The sequence below is a fragment of the Homo sapiens genome, chromosome 17, assembly GCF_000001405.40.
Source record: "Homo sapiens chromosome 17, GRCh38.p14 Primary Assembly".
Taxonomy (NCBI): Eukaryota; Metazoa; Chordata; class Mammalia; order Primates; family Hominidae; genus Homo; species Homo sapiens.
In genome coordinates this window covers 56434276-56459633 of record NC_000017.11, presented here as the reverse complement: position 1 = coordinate 56459633, position 25358 = coordinate 56434276, and the positions used below count along the sequence as shown (strand labels likewise).

General features: G+C 39.0%; 1 protein-coding gene across 16 annotated transcripts in view; it reads right to left on the bottom strand.

Annotated features, from left to right (window-relative positions):
• The window catches only part of ANKFN1 (ankyrin repeat and fibronectin type III domain containing 1), a 470940-nt gene that overhangs the window by 57383 nt on the left and 388199 nt on the right, over nucleotides 1-25358 (bottom strand). For 15 of the 16 annotated variants that reach the window (XM_047435502.1, XM_017024263.2, XM_011524430.3 and 12 more), the window contains 6 exons: nucleotides 19210-19307; nucleotides 16701-16791; nucleotides 10448-10555; nucleotides 2674-2773; nucleotides 2245-2377; nucleotides 1655-1771 (listed from right to left, as the gene is read on the bottom strand). In XM_047435502.1, the coding sequence (XP_047291458.1) occupies nucleotides 1655-1771; nucleotides 2245-2377; nucleotides 2674-2773; nucleotides 10448-10555; nucleotides 16701-16791; nucleotides 19210-19307 (647 nt within the window). Of the gene's footprint in view, nucleotides 1-1654; nucleotides 1772-2244; nucleotides 2378-2673; nucleotides 2774-7580; nucleotides 7692-10447; nucleotides 10556-16700; nucleotides 16792-19209; nucleotides 19308-25358 lie in introns of those variants that run through there. The other variant, XM_011524434.2, reaches the window with a different exon arrangement.

Below are 25358 nucleotides of genomic sequence, written 5' to 3'. Positions count from 1 at the left end.
GCTGTATGGTAGGATGATGGGAGGATCCACTAAGGAGTCTGAGCCTCTTAGGAATGTATTTATCCTAAAGAAAGAGTAGTGTGAGGTGCAGTGGCATGGTCCAACTCAAGTGGGTCAGTGATGAAAGGACGAGGCACTTTGAATTCAGCACAGTCATCATGGCCCGCTCCAAGAACTGCTTCTTGAGTTGGAAGAGAAGATTATGCAATCAAGAGTGAGTTGAGGCCAGGCACGGTGGCTCATGCCTGTACTCCCAGCACTTTGGGAGGCCGAGGCAGGTGGATCACTTGAGGTCAGGAGTTCGAGACCAGCCTGGCCTACACGGTAAAACCCTGTCTCTGGTAAAAATACAAAAATTAGCCGGGTGTGGTAGTGGGTGCCTGTGATCCTAGCTACTCAGGAGGCTGAGGCAGGAGAATTGCTTCAACCCAGGAGGCAGAGGTTGCAGTGAGCCAAGATCACGGCACTGAACTCCAGCCTGGGAGACAGAGAGAGATTCCATTCCACCACCACCACCAACCCAAAAAAAACCCGAGTGAGTTGAAATGAACAGCTGTTTGCTAAAATCTCACTGAGCATACAAAACAGCAAGCTACCTGTGTAATGGAATATATCACAGAGGAGCAAAATTTGCATTTCTGAATTAATTGTAATAGCAACAAAATATTGCAGGAAGTTGAATTATTATTATTGTGAGGGTTTAAGAAATGACATTCCTATAATTGTAGGTGGGGGGCAAAGCCATAGAAATTTTTTTTTGTTATTGTGACTTTATTTTTATGCTGTGACCTACATGGCCTGGCCAAACACAGCTTACATAGATTCCTGTTATGCATATTTCTGGGGTTGATGTAACTGCAGATTTGTAGGTAGATACCCGTTACTGATAAAGGCTCAGCGATCTCTTAATGGCTCCAATCCCATGTAGCAGATATTTTTTTTTCTGTGCTAAGATTCACAAATTCACTTAATACCAGAAAACAGTAAGAGGAAAACCCAGAAAATCTTGGTTAGAATTTAATGCTACTTCTAGGAGGAGCTCTGTAACCTACAAAGATTGGGGACTTGATCTGATGTGACTGAGAATATGGAAGGATAAATCAATTCAGGCTTAAAGATAATCTTTTAAGCGTTGTTCTCTATTTGTTTTTTTTTTATAAGTAAGCAAAAATGTCTATGCTTTACCAAAATCATCACACCAAGAAACTGTTCAAAATATCTGCTCGTCTCTTTTTTCCATCTTCATATACTCATTAATGCATAGGACGGCAGAGCAGCAACAGTCCTTCAAGAGATCTCATTAAACTTCTCTTATTTTGCAAGTGATGAAACTGGGGCCCAGAGAGGAGAACTGAGTCGGCTGACTAATATCAAATCTAGAACTCAAGTCTCCTTACTCCTTGTTTAATGAGTTACTCCTATATACTGTTCAAGAGAGACTCACTTGGAGGAGACTGCTAAAGGTACAGGTTTCCTATATGAAACCTGCATACCTACAGGTACGCAGCTCCAGCTGCTCAAGAAAACTTCATATTCTTAGGGGTCTGAAAGAGAAGGGAGCCCATCCTTTTCCTTTCTAGGTAGGACTGGTAACTGAATTTTCTACATTAAAAATATTTTCCTTGGGGGCCTGGGTTGAAACCTGGTCCCTTACCTGTAGCTGTGCTGTTGCTGCGAGCATCTTCTGCCGAGTTTGCAGCACTGTGGATGAGGATGAGGATATTGGTATGCTTTGCCTCAGCCACCTTATATCTTCCCACATACAAGACAGCTGCAAAAGAAGGCATGCAATCATGTCATCGTCCAAGCCAGTACATGATTTAGGTTGTGGCATCAAAGCAAAGCAGGGAGAAAGAAATCTGACCCCTGATGTTTATTCTCCAGTCCATTTTCAGACACACACGAAACAACTTTTTGATCTCTGTCCAATTGGAAAAAGATCTGAATGTTAATGAAACGGTCAGATCCACATTTTAGTCTTTGCCAAATGATCCCATAACTCAGAACAGTGGAGACACATTGTGACAGGATGCAAGTCTCTTTGCTTTGAAAATGTAGCGCACACGTTACTTTGGTGCTTTTTAAAATGACATAGGGCATACCAGGGCTGAAAAGGACCTTGGAGATACTTTATTTCTACCCCAAAACTCTGATCGCTGGAGACCCCTCAACTAATGTTTCAGAGATTTTTGTGCAGTAACATTGGTACAAAGTAGGGAAAAATGAAATCAGAACTTAGTATACCTTCGTGAACCACAGAAAATCTTGTGTAATAGAACTGGTGTGAGAGTCATCTATTTCAACAATTGGTACTTGATCTTCATTGGTGACTAAGATATTGTCTTTGTAATAAAATATAACGGCTATGTAGAGTCCCCTAAAAAGAAAAAGGAAAATAAAAGCATTGTCCTCAACCATCTTGGAAAAATATTTTTTTGGATGTGATAAAAGATGAATTTAAAATATACCTAGGAACGTATTCCTGCTAAGTATCATAAGTTCACTAGTTACAACTCAAAAGAGAGAAAATTACTGTCTTACACAAATTCTCAGGAGAAAAGTGAATTTTATTGTTTTGAACACAAAAAAATTTCTACCAAGTTTCTACTCAGAACCAAAACCAGTGCATTCTTGAAAAGTTAAGATTTCCTGAAAAAACTACATAGAACCCACCGTTTTAAGGTCTTCACAAACTTGTTCGAGGAATGGAACAGGTGTTTCAGGCTTCTTGAGACTGACTGCTTGCGGCCTGTGGTTTGTAATTTTGTGCTTTCTGGAATGTATTTTAAAAAATACAGTATAAATTCCACTGGGCAGATCAACACCCCCAATTCCATTTTCCTACCTTCCTGCCTTCCCCTCCCCCATCCCTTTAGTGTCACTTATCCTCAGGTTCATGTAGGGATTCTGCTCATTCATGCCTATAAGAAGCTCTTGTAGCCGGGCACGGTGGCTCTCGCTGGTAATCCCAGTACTTTGGGAGGCCGAGGGGGGCGGATCACGAGGTCAGGAGTTCAAGACCAGCCTGACCAACATGGTGAAACCCTGTCTCTACTAAAAATACAAAAATTAGCAGGGTGTGGTGGCGCACGTCTGTAGTCACAGCTACTCAGGAGGCTGAGGCAGGATAATCGCTTGAACCCGGGAGGCAGAGGTTGTAGTGAGCCGAGATCGTGCTCTCCAGCCTGGGCGACAGAGCGAGAATCCGTATCAAAAAAAAAAAAAAAAAAAAGAGAAAAAAAGAAGCTCTGGTATCTTGAGATGCCAGTGGTTAACTCAATGAACAACTCCTCAAAAATGCTGGAGATAAGTAGTCTTTATAACTGCAGAGGAGACCACGTAGGTGTTCTGTTGATACTCTCTGCTTTGAAATTTTTGATTTATTTTAAGGTAGGATAAAAAGACATGGAATCAACTCCTTTGCCCTTCTCCCAACTCCCGCAATTGCCTTCTAACATTCATACAATTCTCAATGTTGGTAAAGCATTCCCTGTAAGTCTACGTATTGTGTTAATTTTTTTCATTATAAAATTAATGTAAGCACATTACAGAAAGTCTGGAGAATAGAAAAAAAAGAGCAAAACCCCACCCATATCATCTCGTCACTTCTGTATAACCACTGCCAGCATTCTGGAACAGTTTTTTTCTTCATTGTGTATGTTGGTTTACAAAAATGGGTGTAGGGATGGGTATGATTATCATCCTCATTATTCAGAAGAAGAAACTGAGGCTGAGAAGTGAAAAGAATTGCTCAAAAAGTCAGTGCCTGGGAAAACAGACATTCATTAATTGGACAAATATTTATTGGGGGCACTACTATGCATCAGGCTCTGCAGGTACAATGGTAAGCAAATAATTCATTGCTTCTGTTCAGGTCTTCTGCTTATAACATGGAGCTTGCCCTAATAAAGGTAGTAGGCTTCCTATACTTCCTATAACAGCCTTTGCAAATAATATTGCATGGAGCTGGGCTACATAATCACTGATTTTAACTCTCATATTCTATGCAATGAAGGGAAAATGAGGTTGTTGGTATCACCACCAGACTGCTGACAGACATGTCACTGGAGATGAGAATATGGTCCATATGACTGCTGTTAGGCATAGAAACCTGGACAGGTGGCCCATGACTGAGGGCCAGTGTGTCTTTGGCTATGATTATATAGGAACAGCTGACTGACACAAGCATTCATGCCAGTTTCAAGCTTACGTTGGTAATGGTTATTCCTTGCAGAACAAAGCAAAATCATTCTTTTTTCTGACTTGAACATGAGTTTGGCTGCTTGGAAATAATGCTGCTGGGACTTCCAGTTAAATATGGAAGAGTGAACATATTCATTACATACTACCCTTTCCCCAAACCTCACTAAAAGCAGAGTAGAAATTAAGAAAAGAAGGAAACAACATAAATTTTTAAAGACAAAGAGATGGGAAAGGAGACAAAAGTAAGCAAATCTCAGTAGCTGGAAAGCAGATGGATAGAAAGATTTAAGACTTGAGATGGATGAAGTCAAAGACAGCAGTGGAGAAAGTTCAGAAGTGATCTGATTCACTCCATGGTCTCCATGGACTGCTGGAAGTGAGGGGTGAGTGTGAGCTAAAAACAAGGAGGATTTGTGAAAGCCTGTTCAAAAAGTAGTTAGACTTCTAGATCTCCTCCTCTACTACATGACTGGACAGATACCTCTTCCCTACTCTAGAAGAAAGCTAGTGGCTTGTTCTCTGGAAATCAACAGACAAACGAACACCCAAAACAACAACAACATACATCTCCGGAGTGGGAGACATCAGGTAGTGTTGAAAATGGGGTGCTGATGATGGTGGCAGTGTACCCCAAATGGGCAGATTTGTGCATAAGCTTTTATACATAATATTTCCCTATTGGGTTCTCAGAACACTGGTATCCAAACTTATACCTTCCAAGCAGGACACTGGAAGAAATTTCTGTGGAAAATTTGACCAGCCTAAGAGAACGTACCCAAAGATTCTGACATTGGGGATATCTCAATGGAAAGGTGGTGCCAGGTCACCCTACAATGAATCCTGTAAGTAAAGAGCCCTACGCATGTGCTCAGAACTTCCCAATGGCTATTGATTTCCCTTCTCTGAAATCTGAGCATTCATTGAAGGATCAACAGGCAGTTGAGAAAAGCATCTAACATGAAATACAAAGGCCAAAAATTAGTAAACCAAAGACCAACTTACAGAAAAGAAAGATTATTCTGAGGAAAGAAAATATAAAATGAAACAAAGCCTATCATTAATATTCTGAGAAGTAAGAGAAGACTTGCATCCCTTATAAAGAGAGTAAGAGTCTATAAAAATAACCAGAGGACAAAAGAGAGCATTGGCAATTAAAAACATGTTGTCAAAAGCTAAGAAACCGAATAGAAGGCTTAGCAATTAAAGCTGATGAAATCTCCAAGAAAGTAAGGCAAAAGGATGTAAGGATGGAAAGTAGAAGAAAAAAAGAAAATAAAATTGAAGGACGAATGTGGGAGAACCAAAATCTGAATAACAAGAGTTCTAGTAAGATAGAGGAGAGGAAAAGAAGGCAAAGAAATACTTAAAGAAGTAATTTAAGAAAATGTCTCACAATTGAAGGGTATAACTTCTCATGTTGAAAGGACTTTCCAGGTGCCCAATATAACAGACAACAGATGCCTTAGTACATCACTGTGAAATTTTAGAACATTGGAGTCAAAAGAAAACTTAAAACCTTCCAGAGAGGGGAAAAAAAGGTTTCATATAGAACCTCTGGAATTAGAATGACATCAGACTTAGTCCTGAAAGCTGGAAAACAATGAAACAATACCTTCAAAATATGAAAAAAAAAAAGGATTTCAACCAAGAATTCTATACTCATCCAAAACCTTGAATAAATGTTAAGTAGAATAAATACACCTTTAGATATACAATTTCTCTGAAAATTAGTTCCCAAGCCCCCTTTCAGGATGCTGTGAGGGGGAAAGCTCCACCATGCAATACAGAAAGAAGGAACCCAATATTGGAGAGCGATAAGAAGAGTCCTCAATATGGTAGTAAAAGGCAATCCAAGGGTGACAGTTGTACACTGGGCAACAAGTGACCAGTCTAGACTGGAGCAGGACAGAGGACTCCATGAATGTTTCCTTAAGAAGATGCAATAGAAACATCTAAAGCATCTGATTATATTGAGAGAAGACTGATTTAATTCAAGAATAGTTTGGGGATTAATTATTATAGCCATATAGAAAAACAAGCAAATGCACAATAAATGATTATTAACTACAGGGAAAACAAAAAGTTATCCAGGAAAGGAAAATAATCATATAATTTATCATTATAATGTAAACAGTAAATACTGATCTTACTAAAATTCAATATACATATATTAAGAGATTGAGAAGATAGGAACTATGCACGCAAATAAGGGAGGGGTGGGGTAAAAAGAGATACATCATTACTTTCTTTAGTGAGGTAATGACTAAAATCGAAAAACATTATTAGAAATATGAGCACGTTACTTAGAGATATGGGGAAAATACTAAAATAATTAGCTAAAGGTTAAGAGGTTATCTTTGGGGAGGAAAAAAATGGAAGAAGGAAGAAATTGCTTTTAAGAAAATAATAAAACTGTTTTAACTGCTTTACTGAAGTTATTCAATCCTTAAACAATGAATGAATGAGGTATATATAATTATTATCTGCATTTTAGAGACGAGAGAAATGAAGCACAGAGCCATTTAGGCAGTTTGCTCAAGGTCACACAGCCAGCAGAAGTAAAAGTACAGCCCAGATTTGAACTCAGGCAGTCTGGCTTCAGAGACACATTATAGTTATATATAGCTCACATAAAAATGAAGATTAAACTAAAAAAGTCAGACTAAAAATAAAAAGAGAAAATTAAGAAGTACTGCTACCAGTTGGGAAAAGGGCACATGCAAGCATTAAATATTCTAGGTCTGGTCACATGGTAAAACTGTACTTTGGAGCCCTTGTGGTTGGATGGGGCCATGTGACCACCTCTGGCCAATGAGTTTTGGGTGTAATAACATGCAGAAAGTCTTGCCCATATGAGACCTTCAAGAGTTATTTTTCCCTCTCCTATGGTTGCTAGCAAATATTTCCAGAGAGAGGATGTTAATAACACAGAAGGAGAACTCCCAGCTGATCAGTGGTAAACGCATAGCATGAGGGAGAGATAAAGGTTTGGGGAATCATTTGGTTACTGTAACATAGTAAGGTTCACCTTGACTGACACATCAGTCTAAACTAACTTTTCTCCTAAGAACCTTGTGGCTTCTATACTGTACTTCCCTACTTGGTTTGGAGTTCTGAAGCAACAGTTCATTTTCTGTACTCTGAATGCAGTAGTTCCCTAACTTGTAAGGAGCATAGGAGTTTACTTCATTCATGTTGGCATGTCTAGCCCCTACTATGTGACCTACAAATTACATAGTAGGCAGGGTTTCAGTTACTATTGTATTGCAAGTTGAATAATTGGATAATAATATAAATTCATCCCTATAGGATATTGCTATGATGAACACGATTGTTGTTTTAATATTGTAATTCATTATGTACATCAGTGTACCCACCTTGTGAACAATGAAGCTTGCTTAACATCTCCCTTGAATTTTCATCCCAATACTAAGCATGCAGATCAGCTTTGGCCAGTTCTTTAGCCAAAATGCAGAAATTAATGTAGATGTTGGTACCTCCTATTTAGGATTTTAGTAGGAGAAGTGATTTTTATTATTACTCCCATATTTGGAATATGTTGTATAGTTAGTGAGTCATTACACGGTCATTACAGTACAGTCACCAATTACACTTCAATTCTATGGAATATGCATAAAGTGCTGAGGATGGAGAGTGGCCCCTTTCTCAATGGGAGAAAAATAAGTTACAGTTTGCCAGGGAAAGACACTGTGTCAGGTGAATTTAATGCACCTAATTTACTCTTCATAGCAATCCTGCAAGATAGGTAATATTATCCTGACTTTGCTGATCAAGAAACTGTGGATCAGAGAGGCGAAATCCTCTTCCCAATAATACACAGCTTGTAAGTGGTAGAATTGGAATCTGAAATATTACTTTTTCTAATTGTAAAGTTGGTAAAAGTTTATGTCCCCAATAAACCACATAGTATTTCAATGTATTTGAATATTTTAAATAAAAATTTTGTAATAATAATAAAAAAAATTTGTAATTCTCTGTAAGCAATACTTATTCTTCATTTATCCTTCTGCATTAAGGGTTATGTTAAATCATCTTAGATTCATTCTTTTTGTGTGTGTATGAGGTAATTTATTTTGGCATATTATGAGTTAGCATTTCCCAAAATTTGTGCTTTGGAATACTAATACTGTGAAAAAGTTGTACATGGCTAAAGAAGTTTGGAAAATGCTTGTTTAAGCAAATGTGACATGTCTGTTTATTAGAGTCTTTAATATTCTAAAGTATATTTTAAATTTCTAAGAGAAGATGTAGAATTCAACATTTCCAAAACTTACATGACAAGAGAACCTTTTTCAGCTGAGCATATTATTGGATCACTGATCTTTGGAACATACTTTGAGCACTGTTTAAGTGTCCAGAGTATATTTCATATAAAATATATTCTTCTTTTTTGGAAAGTTCTACCTTATGCCTTACTTAAATCTTTCCTGATATTGTGTGTATATTTACATTCCTCTGGGGGAAAAGCATATACATGACAGAAGTTGGATGGAAACTATAGAAACAATTGGACCATCTAGGCAATCATTTTTTGATTATTAGATAGGAATCCAGTGGTAATGGGGAGAGCATGAATCCTCAGATAATATTAAAAAAATCTCTCATTCTCATGAGTAGTTTCAGCTTTTCCCCCTCTGATCAAGACCAAACACACAGTGGCTTATGAATTTCCAAGAATCATCTGTCCACTTGCTTTGTTACCTTTGCTGTCACACAGGAACCAATGGGCAGGGATGTGATGGAAAGGCAGAAGATGAGAAAGGAGCTTTGGTAACAACTGGCCTGGTTAAATGAGCCCTCAATAACCGAGAACTGACTAGACTTTGGTCAGTGTGGAATATGCTGAAGGTCCTGGTCTGGGTAAAGACTTCTTAGAGATCTGGGAATGGAAATCCCACTTGGGTTTCAGAGCTACTGCATGCATATTTACATATCCTAATGAACTGGTCATTAGAAGAATATTATTTTCTTCCAAACACTTGTCCTCATTTCTAGCTAGAGCCAACATTGCTGAAGGGTCCTACTGTGATAGCTATGTAGTAATTGGGAACAACCTTTTGCTAATGCTCAGTATGACTTATCTATAGCAAGCTCAAACTCAGTGAGTATCTCTTAGTTTCAACTGTGGATTTTTTTTTTCTTTTAAAAAATTTGCTATTTTTAGAGACAGAGTCTTGCCCTGTTGCCCAGGTTGGAGCACAGTGGCATGATCGTAACTCACTGCAGCCTCAAACTCCTGGGCTCAAGAGATCCTCCACAATAGTGGATTTCTTACCCAGCTGTTCCAGCAGTGTCCTAAATCTACAGCGCACAATGGAGTTAGAGATCTGATGGGGGCATGGAAAATGAAAACTTCATGTAGGCTTTAATTCTCCAAATAAAACTAAGTACCTCTTCCACGAATCGTTACACAGATCAGAAATCTGACCCTGTCCCAATTGAACAGCCCAAGTAGAAAAGAAGCTTTTAAAGCCTTCTCAGAGATTCTCTGGGTGTAGCTGGTGAAAGTCTAGGGAATATGTGCTCTACTTTCCTGTGAGCAGTGGTACAGAGGAAGATTAAAATTCAGGATGAGGTTACAGTTCAGTGCCCAGTCCTGATGTAAGGGAATGGGACAAAAATGAAGCGTGTCAGGAGGACTAGACTTAGAACCAGAAGAATCCAGCTTGGAGTCCTGATTCTGTCTTTTCCTGGCATTGTGACCTTGGGGAACACCACTTAGCCTCAGTGGTAATTACCAAAATGAGGATGAAAATGAGATACTGGGTGTGAAACTGCATTGTAAACTATATTATTAATAAATATGGAGGTTTATTATTACTGTTGTTATTATAATTGGCTGGGCTCCTGCAGGGATACTCAGGGGATTTTCCTTGGAGGCAAAATGTTTTTGGGTGAATATCCCAAAGAGCTAGCCCCGTTGAGGACTCTTGTGAAGGGACAATTCCGAGAGAAGGGAACTCATGGCAGCTGCTGTTTTTCTTGTGCTTGTTTTCAAACCGTTCATATGGAGAGAGGGAGAGGGAAAGGAAGTGAGCGAAGGAGAGGGAAGTCTCTTCTGAAGGGTTAAAGCAAGATAGTGCTGTAAAGTGATTCCAGATGTACAAATATTAATATCTCTCTCCCTGATGAATGAGAAGGTATGACCCAGTTAGGAAACTGCTAAAATTACCGGCGCCACCGAGACCTCAGTTGATGGCCCAGCACAGATTTTTATCCTTACCCCGGCAACTGTAATGCTGATGAAGGGCTCGGACCTGCTGCAGCAGACCTTCCAAAACTTCACTCTGTCCCTTGTGTCTGGGCTCTCTGTCGTCATAGTCTTTCCAGTCTATTGAACAAAAGAAATAAACATAGTGAAATTTTAAAACAGGGGAGGCCTCTTCCTTGCCCTGCGTCAGGAGCCGGAGTTTTGCTCATACTACCCACAGTCTCTGCGGATGAGCACCCCGCACATGCAGAGCAAGCAGGCGATGCCAAGGATTTGGAAGCTGCCATTGTTCAGAGCTCTGTGCAAAACAGTAATTGTGGTTGGTTTCTTGTGTCGGGCAGTCTTAGGGCAAGAGAAAATGGTAATTGAAAGCCAAAAGAAAACAGGAATTTGGGAGTCCAATCTAACCTCTTCCAACCCCTTCTCCCCTTTTAGCCTTCTACATCCTAACCAGTTCCTCTGCCATCTCTCCACTGAGCACCCCGAGTCTCAACTGGATTTTCACAGTAGGAAAGAAAGGGGTGGGAATGTGCAGACTAGATGAAATCCACAGTCCCAGTGCTTTTATTGTAGGTTTCACACTTTTGGCCAAATTGACATTTCTTTCCAAGGAAAGAGCCCATGTCAGATGCCAAGAAATGGAAATCTACATTTTGCTCTAATGAATGTCTGCTTTGGTGAGCTGGCACAGCAGCCCCTGCACATACTCTGAGCCACCAACCACCCTGTCTGCTCAGTCTCTAAATATACAGTATTAGCTTACAAGGCAAATTTAAATTGCAATACCCACTGAGATTTTTCTCCCCCTTCTATTTTCATTCCGTTTAGCTATAATGATATCAAGAGTAATAACCCATATGGGACTAATGTCAAGATTGTAATTCTGCTGTCTCCAACTCTTGTTTTTTTGTTTTTTTTTTCAGCAGGTCAGTCATTTCAGAGTCCATCCCTTCTTCCTTCTATTTTCTTTCCTCCAGTTTTCCTTTCTGGAGGAAAAAACAGAAAGCAACAACTTAATGTCTTTCTTAGTTGAGATGCTTTCTCTAAAATTGCTAGTCATTCTTCCCCAGAAAAGCCAGTTAGTTCATGAGTGTATCTTGGGCTTAAATTCTAGTTGAACAAGTTTCAAACTCCTTCCCCCACAGATTTATTTTAAAATACGGGGTCTCTTTCATTCAGAAACTTAATTAGATGTCATGACAGTTAAAGTTATATAAAAGCATTCCATAGTGGTTCATCCAAGGCCCAGGCATATAGCACAGTTAGGAGGACCATAGGTTCTGAAGTCAGGTAAACACAGGTGTGAATCCTGACTCCTACAATTCCTAGCTCAGTGTCTGCAGGCAAGTTACTTATACCAACAGGGCCTCTACTCCCTAACATGAAAAATGAGGATAGTATCTACTTTGCAGGATATTTGCGAGCATTAAATGAGAGATATCTTAGGTGTCTGGCACAATGCCTATTACATGATAGGCATTCTGTAAATATAACTTAAAAGGAAGGGAATTCATGACGGAAACACCATTTCTTACCCTATCAGCTGATTACCTATGAAGAAAGGGGCCTCAGAGATTTTCTGATCCTTCTTCCTTTCCACCCTCCCCCATGGACCTGTCTTTATTTTACTTTTCAGGATACCAGGGCTGATATAACCAATCCAGTTGTATATGACTCAGCTTGTTAGTGGCACAGCCAGGGCAATAATATCTCCTGACCCTCAATATATTGCTCATTTCATATACCATGGACATGCTTTTTATTTTTCTCTTTTCTCTTGGGAAGGAAGGTCAGAAGCTTGGTTGGAGTTTGTGTGGTGTGGCTTAATTGTGGTCAATGCTGGAGACAGGGAATTGGCACAGGTACCTTTTGTAGAGTCTTTGTTCCTTGTGGTCAAGAACCATGACTTAATTTCTCTTTGCCTCAAATTTTTTCTTTGTAAAGTGAGGTTTTTCTTTTTCTTTTTCTTTTTTTCTGAGAAAGAGTCTTGCTCTGTCACCCACGCTGGGGTGCAGTGGCACAATCTTGGCTCACTGCAACCTTTGCCTCCCAGGTTCAAGTGATTCTCCCTCCTCAGCCTCCCAAGTAGCTAGGACTACAGGTGTGTGCCAGCAGGCCTGGTTAATTTTTGTAGCTTAAGTAGAGACAGGGTTTCACCATGCTGGCCAGGCTGGTCTCGAACTTCTGGCCTCAAGTGATCCACCTGCCTTGGCTTCCCAAAGTGCTAGGACTACAGGCATGAGCCACTGTTGGCCTGGCCTATAAAGTGAGGTTTTTGTTTTTGTTTTTGTTTTGAGACGGAGTCTCATTCTGTTGCCTAGGCTGGAGTGCAGTGGTGCGATCTTAGCTCACTGCAACCTCCGCCTCCTGAGTTCAAGCAATTCTCCTGCCTCAGCCTCCCTAGTAGCTGGGGACCACAGGTGTGTGCCACCACACCTGGCTAATTTTTGTATTTTTAGTAGAGACAGGGTTTCACCATGTTGGCCAGACTGGTCTTGAACTCTTACCTCAGGTGATCCACCCGCCTTGGCCTCCCAAAGTACTGGGATTACAGAGTTTTTAAGTCTCTTTTTAGTTTGTCTGAGGTTTAAGAAAACAAAGCACCATCTGGGGCACAGAGCAGACTCGTTAAATGTTGGTGAGGCATTGTGAATAGAAGCACGATGATGTTCAGGTAGGATAAGATAGGAAAGGATTTTTACTGGAAAGTTCAAAAATGTTTGAGGAAATAAACACTCGGTATCCTTTAGATCATTTTTAGCACCCCCAGAATTGGGGCACAGTGAGAATAAACGTTGCTGTCATAGATTCCCAAAGGCCATTAGGAGTTTATTCTCTTAGTTGGATGAATGCATCTGAAGTGCTCATGATAAGATAAGCAAGGTTGTGTGTTTGAGTAAGACTCCTAGGTGGCTGAATTACTACGCGTCCCTGAACATGCCAATGCATTCTAAGGAGTGTGACTGCTGCCATCAATGTGAGGAGAGCTGAAATAGGCCTGTCTCTTTCAGCCCTATTACATCAGAGGCGAGCTCCATCTGATTACTTTATGATACATTAGAAAATTGCTAATGCTAAATTGCAGCCCAAGTGAGCACTGGACATAATGCCAAGGTTTTTGGAAAGAATGAGTTTTTCTCATAGATGTTTGGAAGGTTCTGACGACTACATAAAATAGGAGACTTTAGGGATGAGGGAGAAAATTGAAAATATATTAAGAAATCAGGAACCTGACAGGAATAAACTTAGCATGGTAGGAAAAGAGCAGATTGTGTCACATAATACAGCTCACTGTTCTGGTAATGAGACACTTCAACTGTGACACAATGCCGAGCTTACATTCACTGGCGATATCGGGATTTTCCTGATCGTAACTCAGACAAGCCTGTCTGGGTCCTTTTCTCTTACTATGTACCATACCATATAACATAAGTCTGTAAAAACACATTAAGGCCTTTTGTAAAAATATTTTTTAAAAAAGTTTTATAGCCTACTGGAACATATTACCAAATTTCCAATTACCCTGTCATGTTAGAATACATTGTCCTCTAGTAAATATCTGAATACCGATATATGTTACATCACAATGTCATACTCTGTTTATAAATAGGAGTGTTTTTATATTGTTCCTTCCAAGCGATAGGGCATGTCTGCAACAACTATAACCACGTTAGGATTTCAGTTCTTTGCCAGTTATCCCTACTAATCAAACATACTATTTTAGAAAGTAGTTGCTATTTGATATGTTAATTACCAGTTAATAAGTGACTCCTCCCAGTCCTGAACAACTAACTATTCTGGTCATTCTGGAGATGGCACCTCAAATGGGCTGTGACAGATAGTGTCTGAATGGAACGTGCAGCTTATGGAAACTGAACCTCTGATCTTTATCAGCAAATGCATCTATATGCAGATCAGAACTTGCATTTGGAGTGGGGTTCCCCAGACACCTCCTCACTTTCAGGTCAACTGAGACTAGCATTTTTGTGCATTTTCTGTCACTCCCATAATATACACACACTACTGCCCATCCCCAACATGAGATTGGTTCCTTTTATCCTAATCTTAGAATTCTGTTTGTGTTTCTGGCAAATCTTTGGTAAAAAGACAACTAGAAATAAATGACTAGAAATAAAAACATGCCTAGTCCAAATAAGTCTAGAATAATGAAGTCATCAAATGCCAGGAGAGTCAGGGACCTTAGGGATCTCAGGCATCGGTGGTCCAAGGCCCTGTCTGACCTGGTGTAGTTATCTGAATCTGCCAGAGATGGTAGTCAGGCACAGATGGCTGGCTCTTAGTCTGCCTGATAGCAGGGCACTAGTTACTGTAGCATCGGAGACATGCCAGATGACCAATTCAGGCTAGAGTCCTGGTTCAGCCATGTACCAGTGTTGTGACTTTCGGAAAGGCAACATCTCTGAACCCCAGTTCAAATGCTGGGCTCTGTATATATGTGCCTCTATGTTTATAGTTCCCTCATCAGTAAAATGAACCCAATAATAAAAATCACCTCAAGAGGTACCTTACGAAGATTAAATTAGTTAATCCATGTGAGGTACTTAGATTAATGCCCTCCATATAAAGAGTCTGATAAAGGTTATCTCCAATGCTGATAGAGATGCAGATGATAGTGACAATGATGCCTAGTTACAAGACAGAAATAATGAGGAAAGATTGCCGCAAGGATTAAGAGATACTGAATGTGAAAGCCCTTTACAAACTGCCTGATTCATGGCTGGTCTTGAGTAAATGGTTATTATAAAAAAAATACACAGGCATAGTTAAAAAAACTAAAAGAGACCATAATCTCATAACCCAAATGTCCACTGATAAATTTGGAGAGTTATGAAGACACATGGACACACTCTATCTAATCATGTACAAACCTACAGTTGAATGTTAGGTGAAAAAAAATCCCACATTTTGCATTTCTTTTTACATAAAACATAAAACTTACACTGTAGAAGTTTTTTTCCACACAATTTTTTTTAAAAAGACCATGTTTAGTGATTGTGTTTTATTTGTAGTTACTGATATAAAGATAGATATATCATACTTTAATACTAAATTAATACTGGATATTTGTTCTCCCTACCACACATGACGCTTCATTTTATGAGTGCATTGCTACACATCATCGTACAGACTGGTTTGTTTGCATTTCTTTTTACTTAGGGTAGAGTCCTAGACGTAGAATTATGGAGTAAAAAGAAACAGATTTTCTTAAGGCAGTTGGTATAACATAGCAAATTGTGTTCCATAAAGGATGTTAGCAGTTTTTACTCTCACAAGAAACATATGATATCACTTTTAACTCTCACATTAATGAAGTGTTTTTAAAAAATGAAAATACAATTCAGAGTACTGGGCTCATTACATAGAAAAATCTATGGTATGATATGTCTGGAGATATTTATTCTGGTTAAATTTTCTGGTTAATAGAGAATGCCCAAACATACCTGGCATAGACAATTAATTTTCAAATAATCGGAAGGCCTTTGCTGGGTTTCTCAGCCACCACTACAAATGCTATAGATTATGTTTGTGGGTTTGTAGCAGAATGCTGTTAGTAAGAAAGCTTTTTTTCTGACAGAGTGTCAGATCAGTAAGATTTGTTAGCTTTCATTTTCTTATCAGGTCGATGTGGATGTGTGCACTGCGGGTGAGGAAGGGAAGAGGAGAGCTACAATGGACTGTATGTACTCTGGGCCGCCACTCCCACCATGGCATCTGATCCATCCCCACAAAAGCCCTATGAAAGGGTGTGGTTGGACCTGTTCTAAAGACATGGAATTGAGTCTCAGAGACTTGGTTTTTGTTTTTTTCTTTAGAGGCAGTGTCTCAGTCTGTCACCCAGGCTGGAGTGCAGTGGTGCGATCTTAACTCACTATAGCCTCGAACTCTCTGACTCCTAGGCTCAAGAGATCTTCCTGCCTCAGCCTCCCCAGTAACTGGGACTACAGGCATGAGCCACCATGCCTGACTGTTAAACAACTTTTGAAGGCCACACAGATGATAAGAGGCATAATGGGTATCAAATTCAGCCTTTCTGTTTCCAAATTCCCTCTCCTTTTACTCCACTGAGCTGCTTCCCCAGGAGCATTTCTGCAGGGGAATCATTCATTATGTGGCCCAGATGCTGCCCTGAGAAGGTCTTATGGGTTGCAAGCAGTGGGGGAAGGGAATGGCAATGGCACCCTGAAGATGGAGTTGCAGTTGGAGTCTGTTACCATGCTGGAGAGAGTTCACAGCCACCACCTACTAGAAGGAGAGGCACATGCCGGTGTCGTGGTCTGAGCAGGTCCCCATCCTTTCATATTGTAAGCCGAGACTTGAACAAAATACTGTTGGCCCTGCAAAGTATTGAAATGATGCATCAGGCATTTTATTTAATCATTTTTACCCTAGACTCTATGGGTATAGAATTTAATAACTATGTGTGATTAACTCCTTCATCTCTTTGGAACTCTGTTGCCCATGCAACAGAGTTCATGGGCAACAGAACTATAGCCCATCTATAGCATTCTGGTTTTTCTTGACTATTATGTTTATATGTCACAGCAACCATATTTGAAGTTCCCTCTTAGTTTCTATGCACTTTCTTCTTTTCAAAATTTAAGAATCATAATGACTTTTCCTGAGCCCCCTGAAACTATATATAAATTTTTAAAAGTCACATAGTTCTACAAGGTTTACAAAAAATAGCAATTCCCACTCTCACATCATTCTCCTTATTTTCCCCTTCCTATAGGTAATAGCTGTCACTTCTTTTAGTGATCAACTTGCTTTAGAAAATGAATAAGTTATAATAAATATCTTTTCAGAGTAGTGCATTAAATAACTGCCTTGCTCTTTTTGTGTCTGCATACATTTCACTGTGAGCAAATATTCGGTATCATGTATTTAACCAGTCCCTGACTGGTGGACATTTAGATGGTTCCCACATTTTGTGCTACAATAAACATGCTGCAATAAACATCCTTCATTCAGCTGCATACACATTTAAAAAAATTAACATTTTGATGTGACTTCAATTTTAAAGCCATTGTTAAAACAATGGCTTATATTCTTTAATGGTCTTTTGTGATGTTAAGAATTAAGGAATTGTTTTTATTTGCTGATAATGTTTTAAAATCTTTTGTATAGTTTTTATATTTTGCTTGAATTTTTATATTTTACATTTTGCTTTTATATTTTTTTCCAGTGAACCCAAAGGGCATTTGAGAAGCCAGCATTTGATGAAACATTGCTTGTAAAAATTGTAAAATGATGTTTGAAGTTAAAAAAAAAAAGCACATCTTTGTAGAGACTTTTCTAGGGATCATAAAATATTGACCTTACTGTGTTAGGAAATCAATGTTTTAATGTTGAAAATGGGTTTCTATGACCCTCAAAGTTATAGAGATTGTGTAAAGTATAAATCTACTCCTAGGCTTTTATATGATTACAATAGTGTCTGCATTTCTTTCATTAGATGGTCAAGTGGAAAAACTTAATCCCTATGGAAATTAGTTCAGATATTAGAGAAACTCTTTATGGAGAGTTTTCCATTTTTATCACATATCACTTTTTCTTTTAAGCAATGAAAATTCCCTAGGGTTCCTTCTGGCCCTCTTCCATCTTGTGAGCCATAGGGTTGGAATCAGTCTTCTACTGATAGCATCTCTGGGGGCCACCCACTCAGGGGTTTGTTTGCTCTGGTAATCCACAGTTCTGGCCCCTGGTATAGATATGCGATTAGGACTAAACGTCAGGATTCCGTGGTGATTACCCAAGCATCAAAAATTCCATTAGAATAAGCAGGTTTAAACTTGAAGAAATGCAACCTGATGCATTTTTTTTTTAAGGGTGGGCTTTAGGATTATACTTTGTAGGTAACATTTTAATCAACAAACCTTTAAGAAAACAACAACAATAATAACAAAATTATCCCTCTACTTCCCTCATCTGAAGGTCCTAAGATATTAAATATTTGAATTGGACTGAAAAAGGTTTGATTTAATTTTACTTTTAAAATATTTTGAGAAAAAAGAATTTTATCTTTTGCATTTTAATTGCTTGAGGAAATACAGGGTTTGCTCCAGTTTGAACTGATTTACAAGGTGTTTTTATTTTTTTTGCATTTCATATGCTCATATGTTCATAATTCTAAATAATTAACTTTTGAGTTTATATTAGTTAAACAAATAAGCAGTTTGTTCCAGTTTTTCACTCACAGTTTAAATTAGTTTAGGTTGCTGAGAAACATAGCTCCACCATATATAGTTTCTTTTTTGTGAAAACATATTTAGACAGACTTCGTTTTTTTTTTTTAATCAAGGGAAAAGGATTTCTCTCAGGAAATTATGTGACTGCAATTGATGACTGATCTCAACCGAGGCTGAGGCTGTGGGCATGAGGGTGAGATGAAGCTGTTATTTTTACCATCAGACAGGGAGTCAAAATTGCATCTCTCAGAGCCTTTGATCCACTCCCTGCTTTCCCCCAGAAGATTAGACTGTGATCCAGAAAGCAGCAGCTTTCAAGGCTTGCATGAGGCCAGTCTTTTTCTGATCTCCTTAGAACACGACAGTTTATAAAGTGATTCATGCTGTCTGCTTACTCCTTTGTGAAATTCAGATTCTAGATACCAGACATATCATGCTTAATGAGTGGCAGTTGTTGCCAGAGGACTGGGCGTTGGCTGTTGCTTTCAGAATAGACATTTGCTACTGATATCCCAGCACAAATATCAGCAATAGGGAAATGAAAAGTCTACTGGGGACATTTACCATTGTAAGTCCTGTGATTGTGCATCTCAGAGTCTGCAGATTATCCATGATGATTTCTCCAGCCAAAGGAGAAAAGTCTTCGGACATACTCCATTCCACTGGAGGGAGTAGGGGGGCAGGGAGAGAGAGAAAGAGGGAGAATAAAATTCAGTCACACATCAAGAAGTACCATAGAAACTCTAGCATACAATCCCTCTCAGAAAGAGTTAAGTGCACCCTCCTTTCTTTATATTGGTGTATCAGACAACATTCCTTGAGATGTTAATTTAGTTTCCAAGTTCACATTTTTTTTAAAAGAAGAGCAGAAAAGAATAATAAAAACTTATCAGTTTTTTTGAGCCTTGATAAATATAATGTATATTGTAGTACATGCACATTTATGTGATGTTCTTAATGTCAGATGTAAGTTATATTAAATATATTGCTCATGAGACCATTGCCATATAAACACATTGTGTGTGTGTGCATTTGTGTGTGTATGTGTATGTGTATATGAATATACACACACATACTCAGGCACATTACATGTAACAGCTTGTTCTATATAGTAGATAACTTATTTACTGCATTTGAGAACCAAAGGATCCACTAGGACATTACCTTCTATTCGCTCTCCAAGTCTGACATCTGCTTCGCCATATTCTACTGAAAAGCCTCTCTTAAGGTCTGAGTGAGATTTTCACTCCAAATAAAGAAGCCTCCTTTCATTATCTCCACATCATTTGACACCTTCTTTTTCTGAAAACATTCTCTTCCCCTAATGCCTTATATACTGCTCCCTTCCCCTTCTCTCCTTCTTCTCCTTGATAGCTTCTTCCAAGCCTTTTCATTGGAAAAGGGGTTTGTGGCTAAGGTGTTTAATGTTCTTCTCCCTTGACATCCCCAAGGTGAATGTTTATTTCTAGTTAAGTCATACAAATTCTAACACCCCATTTTACTGTGATATCATATGCTTTCATCACATTTTCTATCAGTTGACAAAGCCATGGTCAGGAAAGATAAATTGTGCATCATCAGTAAAAAGTATCTTAAGTAATTGCTTATACCTGGTGGGATTTAAGGCAAGCATAAATGAAGCAGGGACTTAAGGGACTTAAATCCCATGGGAAGCAAGGCCTCTGTTTCTAAACTTTGTGATAAGCAATAGATCTTAAGATTTAAATGACATTCTCTAGGACACTTTAATATTTCAAAATCAAACCATCTCCAAAGCCTGCTGCGCCCCTCGAGTCACACAGTTCCCTTGCTCTGGATGATCCTGCATTCTCTCCTCTTCTTCAGAATGTTCCTGGGCATCTCGCTTGCTTTCCTCACACTCTTGAAACTGCTCTCCTAAAATTCTTGTGCTTTGATCATCAGCAACAGCCTCCCTTTGGGAAATCTTGCCATGTTTGGCCTTCCTTACTTTGTGCAACCATTCCCCTCCCCCGGTTTTGGTTGCACTTGCCTTTCTACTTCTCTTTTGCATTAACTGCCTCTTTCTAGACTCGTCCTGGTTTTGCCCCTTCTCCTTCTCCCTTTGATGTGATGTTCCTTGGGAGTTTGATGTTTGGCTCTCTTTTCACTCCACATGTTTGCCTTTGGTATTGACTTTATCCACTTTTTATGGCTCTAACTATGAGTCTTAAAACTGTGATTCTATGTCCAGCCTCCCCCTTGAGCTCGAACTTCCTTCTGTTAATCTCTACTTGAGTGCCTCCCATTCCGAGTGGTGGCATGCTCCTACTGTCCCAGCTACTCAGGAGGCTGAGGTGGGAGGATTGCTTAAGCCCGGGGGTTCAAGATTGCAGTGAGTTGTGATTGTACCACTGCACTCATCCTGGGCCACAGAGTGTGATCCTGTCTCAAGAAAAAAAATCCTTTTACTATACCCTGAATTATAGTTGAAAAATGAAGATTGAATGATTTTATTCCTCCACCTAGTATCTTTTCATAGAGTCCAGTTGCTTTGAAATAAAATGAAATCTTAGGAAGGCATTCAAGGACCTTCTTATCTGGTCCCAATTATATATTACTCTTCTAAATTCCTGCCATTTTTCAGAAGAAAGTCTTTGTTCTGTAAGTCTCTGTTACCTGATTATTTTGTGCATTTTCTGCTTCTGTGTCTTTTCCCCATCTTCCAACCTCTGCTTGGTGAAACTCACCAATCATTTAGGACCTAGCAAAGTCATCTCTAAATTCATCAGGAATAATTAATCAAATACACCAGTTTTTCTGCTCCCTAAGTCCCTTATTTCTGTAAAAACGAGATTTATTATAATGTATTATGTTTTACGCTATGTATCTCTTTCTCTTGAGCATGAGAAACTTGAGAACAGGAAAGTGTCATTCATTTTTTTCCTTTCTAGTGTGGGTCTGTGCTTGGTGCATTGAAGGTGCTTATTAAATACTTACAAATCAAATGCATATATATGTATACACACACACACACACACACACACACACACACACCTACAGTAGATTAGTTTTTCCAACACAAAAATATTTTTCTTTCATGTGAATCTTCTCCTTTTCTAGTTTCTTGCCCCTTGAAACTCTCAGGCATGTTATACCATCTAGTTAGAATCAAATGATTAAGATTATATATTAACTCAAATCGGTCTATACCTCCTTACAAATATGTATTCTAAAACACATATATATGTTTATATATATGTATATGTATTACATGTATGTTTCCATTTTTCAAAATGTTTTATTCCACTTACGAGCTACTAACTCTTGAAGAAGCCAAGTCTCTGAAAGTCAAATTGGGGAAGGTTTGTAATCAGAGAATAATGTTACACCTAATTTAGCTATAGAAGAAAAACGGTATGCTTGAGTAAGTTATTACAAACAGAACAAAACAAAAATGAGTAGCAAATTTGCAAAGAAATTTAGGAAGAGCAAAGAATATAGGAAAATTCTGGAAACAAAAATATCTTTGGTTGCCATTGAAACAGACATGATTAATTGCTGTGGTGGAGCTCTAAGCTGAAGGCTGAAAATCAAGGGCTGTGACTCCAGACTAAGAACTCAAGACAACTTGCCAAAAGAAGAGCAAGGGATTAGTGGGAATAATACCAGATTATTTGGCAAATGATTAATGAAAAGTTTTTCAGAGATACGATCTTTAGAATTTCTAAAGAAACCTCAATTTATTTTTGAAATTGTTCAAGTTTTACTGAAACATGTTTTACAAAGCAAGTTTCAGGTGGAAAAGAGTGTCAGGCTTCTTGCAGAACAAAACATAAACAGAAGCCGGTTGTAAGAAGATGTGGTTCTGTTTTGGGAATTAATAGAGGGTTTTAAACAGTTAAGTCTAATTAGATTTTATAACATATCTGAGTTTCAAAAGGGAAGGGGCTAGAGAAAAAGAAGATTCACATCAAAGGCAAACAATTCTCCATGTTAGAATGGCCAATCTATTCTGGGGCAACCAACAGTCTTTTTCCCTCTGTGTATTTCCTTGGGTTGGTGGACTCCTTTTGGCATGAAGCCACAGAAAGAAGAAAGGAATTTCTGGGCATTTAAAGAATGAAGAGGGAAACAGAGTGAGCAGGAGTCACTTTGAGAGTGACTGGGAATTCTTTTTTTTTTTTTTTTTTGAGATGGAGTTTCGCTCTTGTTGCCTAGGCTGGAGTGCAGTGGCACGATCTCAGCTCACTGCAACCTCCAACCTCCGCCTCCCGGGTACAAGTGATTTTCCTGTCTCAGCCTCCCAAGTAGCTCGGATTACGGGCATGCACCACCACACCTGGCTAATTTTTTTGTATTTAGTAGAGACGGGGTTTCATCATGTTAGTCAGGCTGGTCGTGAACTTGAACTCCTGATCTCAGGTGATCAGCCTGTCTCAGCCTCCCAAAATGTTGGGATTATAGGCATGAGCCACCGTGCCCGGCCGCAACTGGGAATTCTAAGAAGGTTAACTCAGAATGTTCTCTTTGGAAAGTTGTATATAGGTAGTTTACAGACTTACCATTAAAACCCTGAGAAAATCACGTATAAGCCGGTTCTAAAACTATACAAAACTTGTAATGTTTAAGATAAAGATGAGAGAAACTGTTTCTACTTAGGTCTGAGAAGGAAAAGCAGGGCTTAATTGCGCAATGGCTCATAGCAGTTGAAAATTAGCAAGAAAGGTATTCGACAAAACCTAGATATTAGTATTTCCTAAAATTTGGCTCTGGCTCACACTGTGATTCCTTGTATTTATATCAAGTAACTATGACTATTTTACATGGGATTCCTTGTTATTTTAACAAAACTTTAATTTTTATCTAGGTTTCAGATATGTAGAGTCATTTGGGCAGGGAAGTTCTACCTGAACACTGCCATTATCTGATGGCAGCTATGTAAATCACAGGCTGGAAGATTAAAATGAAAAAGAGCCCCTGAAGCCTGGCCCTGCCACCCTGAGGTCTATAATGTAATGGGAAATGTCACGGAATCAGTTACAAGACTAGAAAATTCACAACTCAGAAGAGTTTGGGTACCCAAGCAGAGAACATAGTATAAAGTTTAGGTAAATTTCAAGGCTTATGATGTGGATTAGATAATCCACCCTGTTTTAGCTGAAAACACTCAAATTGCAGGCCAGCTTTTGGAGAGGTGAAACTATGCTAATGTAAAGGCATAAAGATAAAACAGTGCAGCAATGCCTAATTAATTTTTATTCAATTGATCAAAAAAAAAACACCTCATAAAACTTGCTGTTGTGCAGATTCTCCCTAAAATCTCAAATGCCTCAAAGCCTAGAGTTGTTTTATCCTGTTCACACATCGGGAGGAATATACTGTAAAAGTTACATTCCTTCGTCTTAACCAAACATCACCCAAATCCTCCACTTAGCCTTATCAGTCACTTGCCCTTAGACCCAGCCATTGCTTGTGCTGTTTTCTCCTGTGATATGGCCTCCTCTTCCACAAAAACTTCTATCCTTTTATTCAAACAGTCCTGGTTCAAAGTCCTTTCCTTTTTCTAGTTTTCTCTGGCTTCCCAAGGGAATCATCCTTGCCAATTTTCCCTTAGCAATTTTAATATGTCTCACACATTGTACTTGCTTTATTGTTTTATGTTTTTCAATGATCCATCTCCTCTGTAGTCTATAAGCTCCTTAGGGCAAGGACCATGTCTGATTAATATCACTTTCCAAAGCACCTATCATAGCACCTAGCAGAGTGTAGGTGGCTCAGTAAATGTTTGGTGAATACTTGATTCTTGACTTTGGAATGCTTGAAGTCTACGGTAGACAGGAATTTCACGCTGGTACAGACAGCATAAGACAACTGTGTCAGAACGGAGGGAAAAAAGTCAAAAGGAGAATGGCAGTTACTTCTACTGCTCAGTTAGTGGTTGAAATGGAGATTAATAACTGGCCTTCAGATTCCAAGCATCCTGGACTCTTCACTTGTCCATACTGCCTCTCAGAAACCAAAAAAACTAAAAGTGTATTTCCTATTCCCTATCAGCTCTTCGATGGAACCAAAACAGCATTCTTACTGGCCACATTCACCCTGGCGCCTTAGCTAATGAACGGAATTTGGCTAGACTGCCCAACCCAGCACCAGAGCATTATGAAATCTTCCCCCGATCCATCTAATTGTGCAGTTTCTAACCTTTCAGGCCAACCATAGCACAAGAAGAAGAGAGAGAGAGAGAGAAGGACGTGCCGAGAAACCCAGACCGAGATCAAATACAGTCATTTCTAGAGATGAGAAGATGTGTCTTGCTGCAGCATGAACCCGCTCAACACTTGTGGGTTTTAAATTAGGAACTGACGTGAAAACTCTGGATCTGGGAATTCTGTTTAGCTCTGGCAAAATATGAGGTCGGAGCTGCTTGCATTTTTTATTTTAAATTCCCTTGGTAGTCTTAGGAACAGGGGCATGCATTACTTTCAAACAAGAATCTTTATTGTTTGCATAGCACACAGTCATCCAGTTAATTAGAAAAACATTTTTTTTCCCCAAATTAAATTTCCCTAGAAAAACAATGATTTAAATTAAGGGCAAAAGGCTTTTTCATCATCATCTTCTTCTTCTTCTTCTTTTTTTTTTTTTTTTTGACACTAGAAAAGCCTTCTTGCATCCACTACTTCTAGAAGATTAAAGCAAAGTTGGAATCAGAAGGCTAGATTCACTTATTTATTGGCAGGTTCTGCCATCCA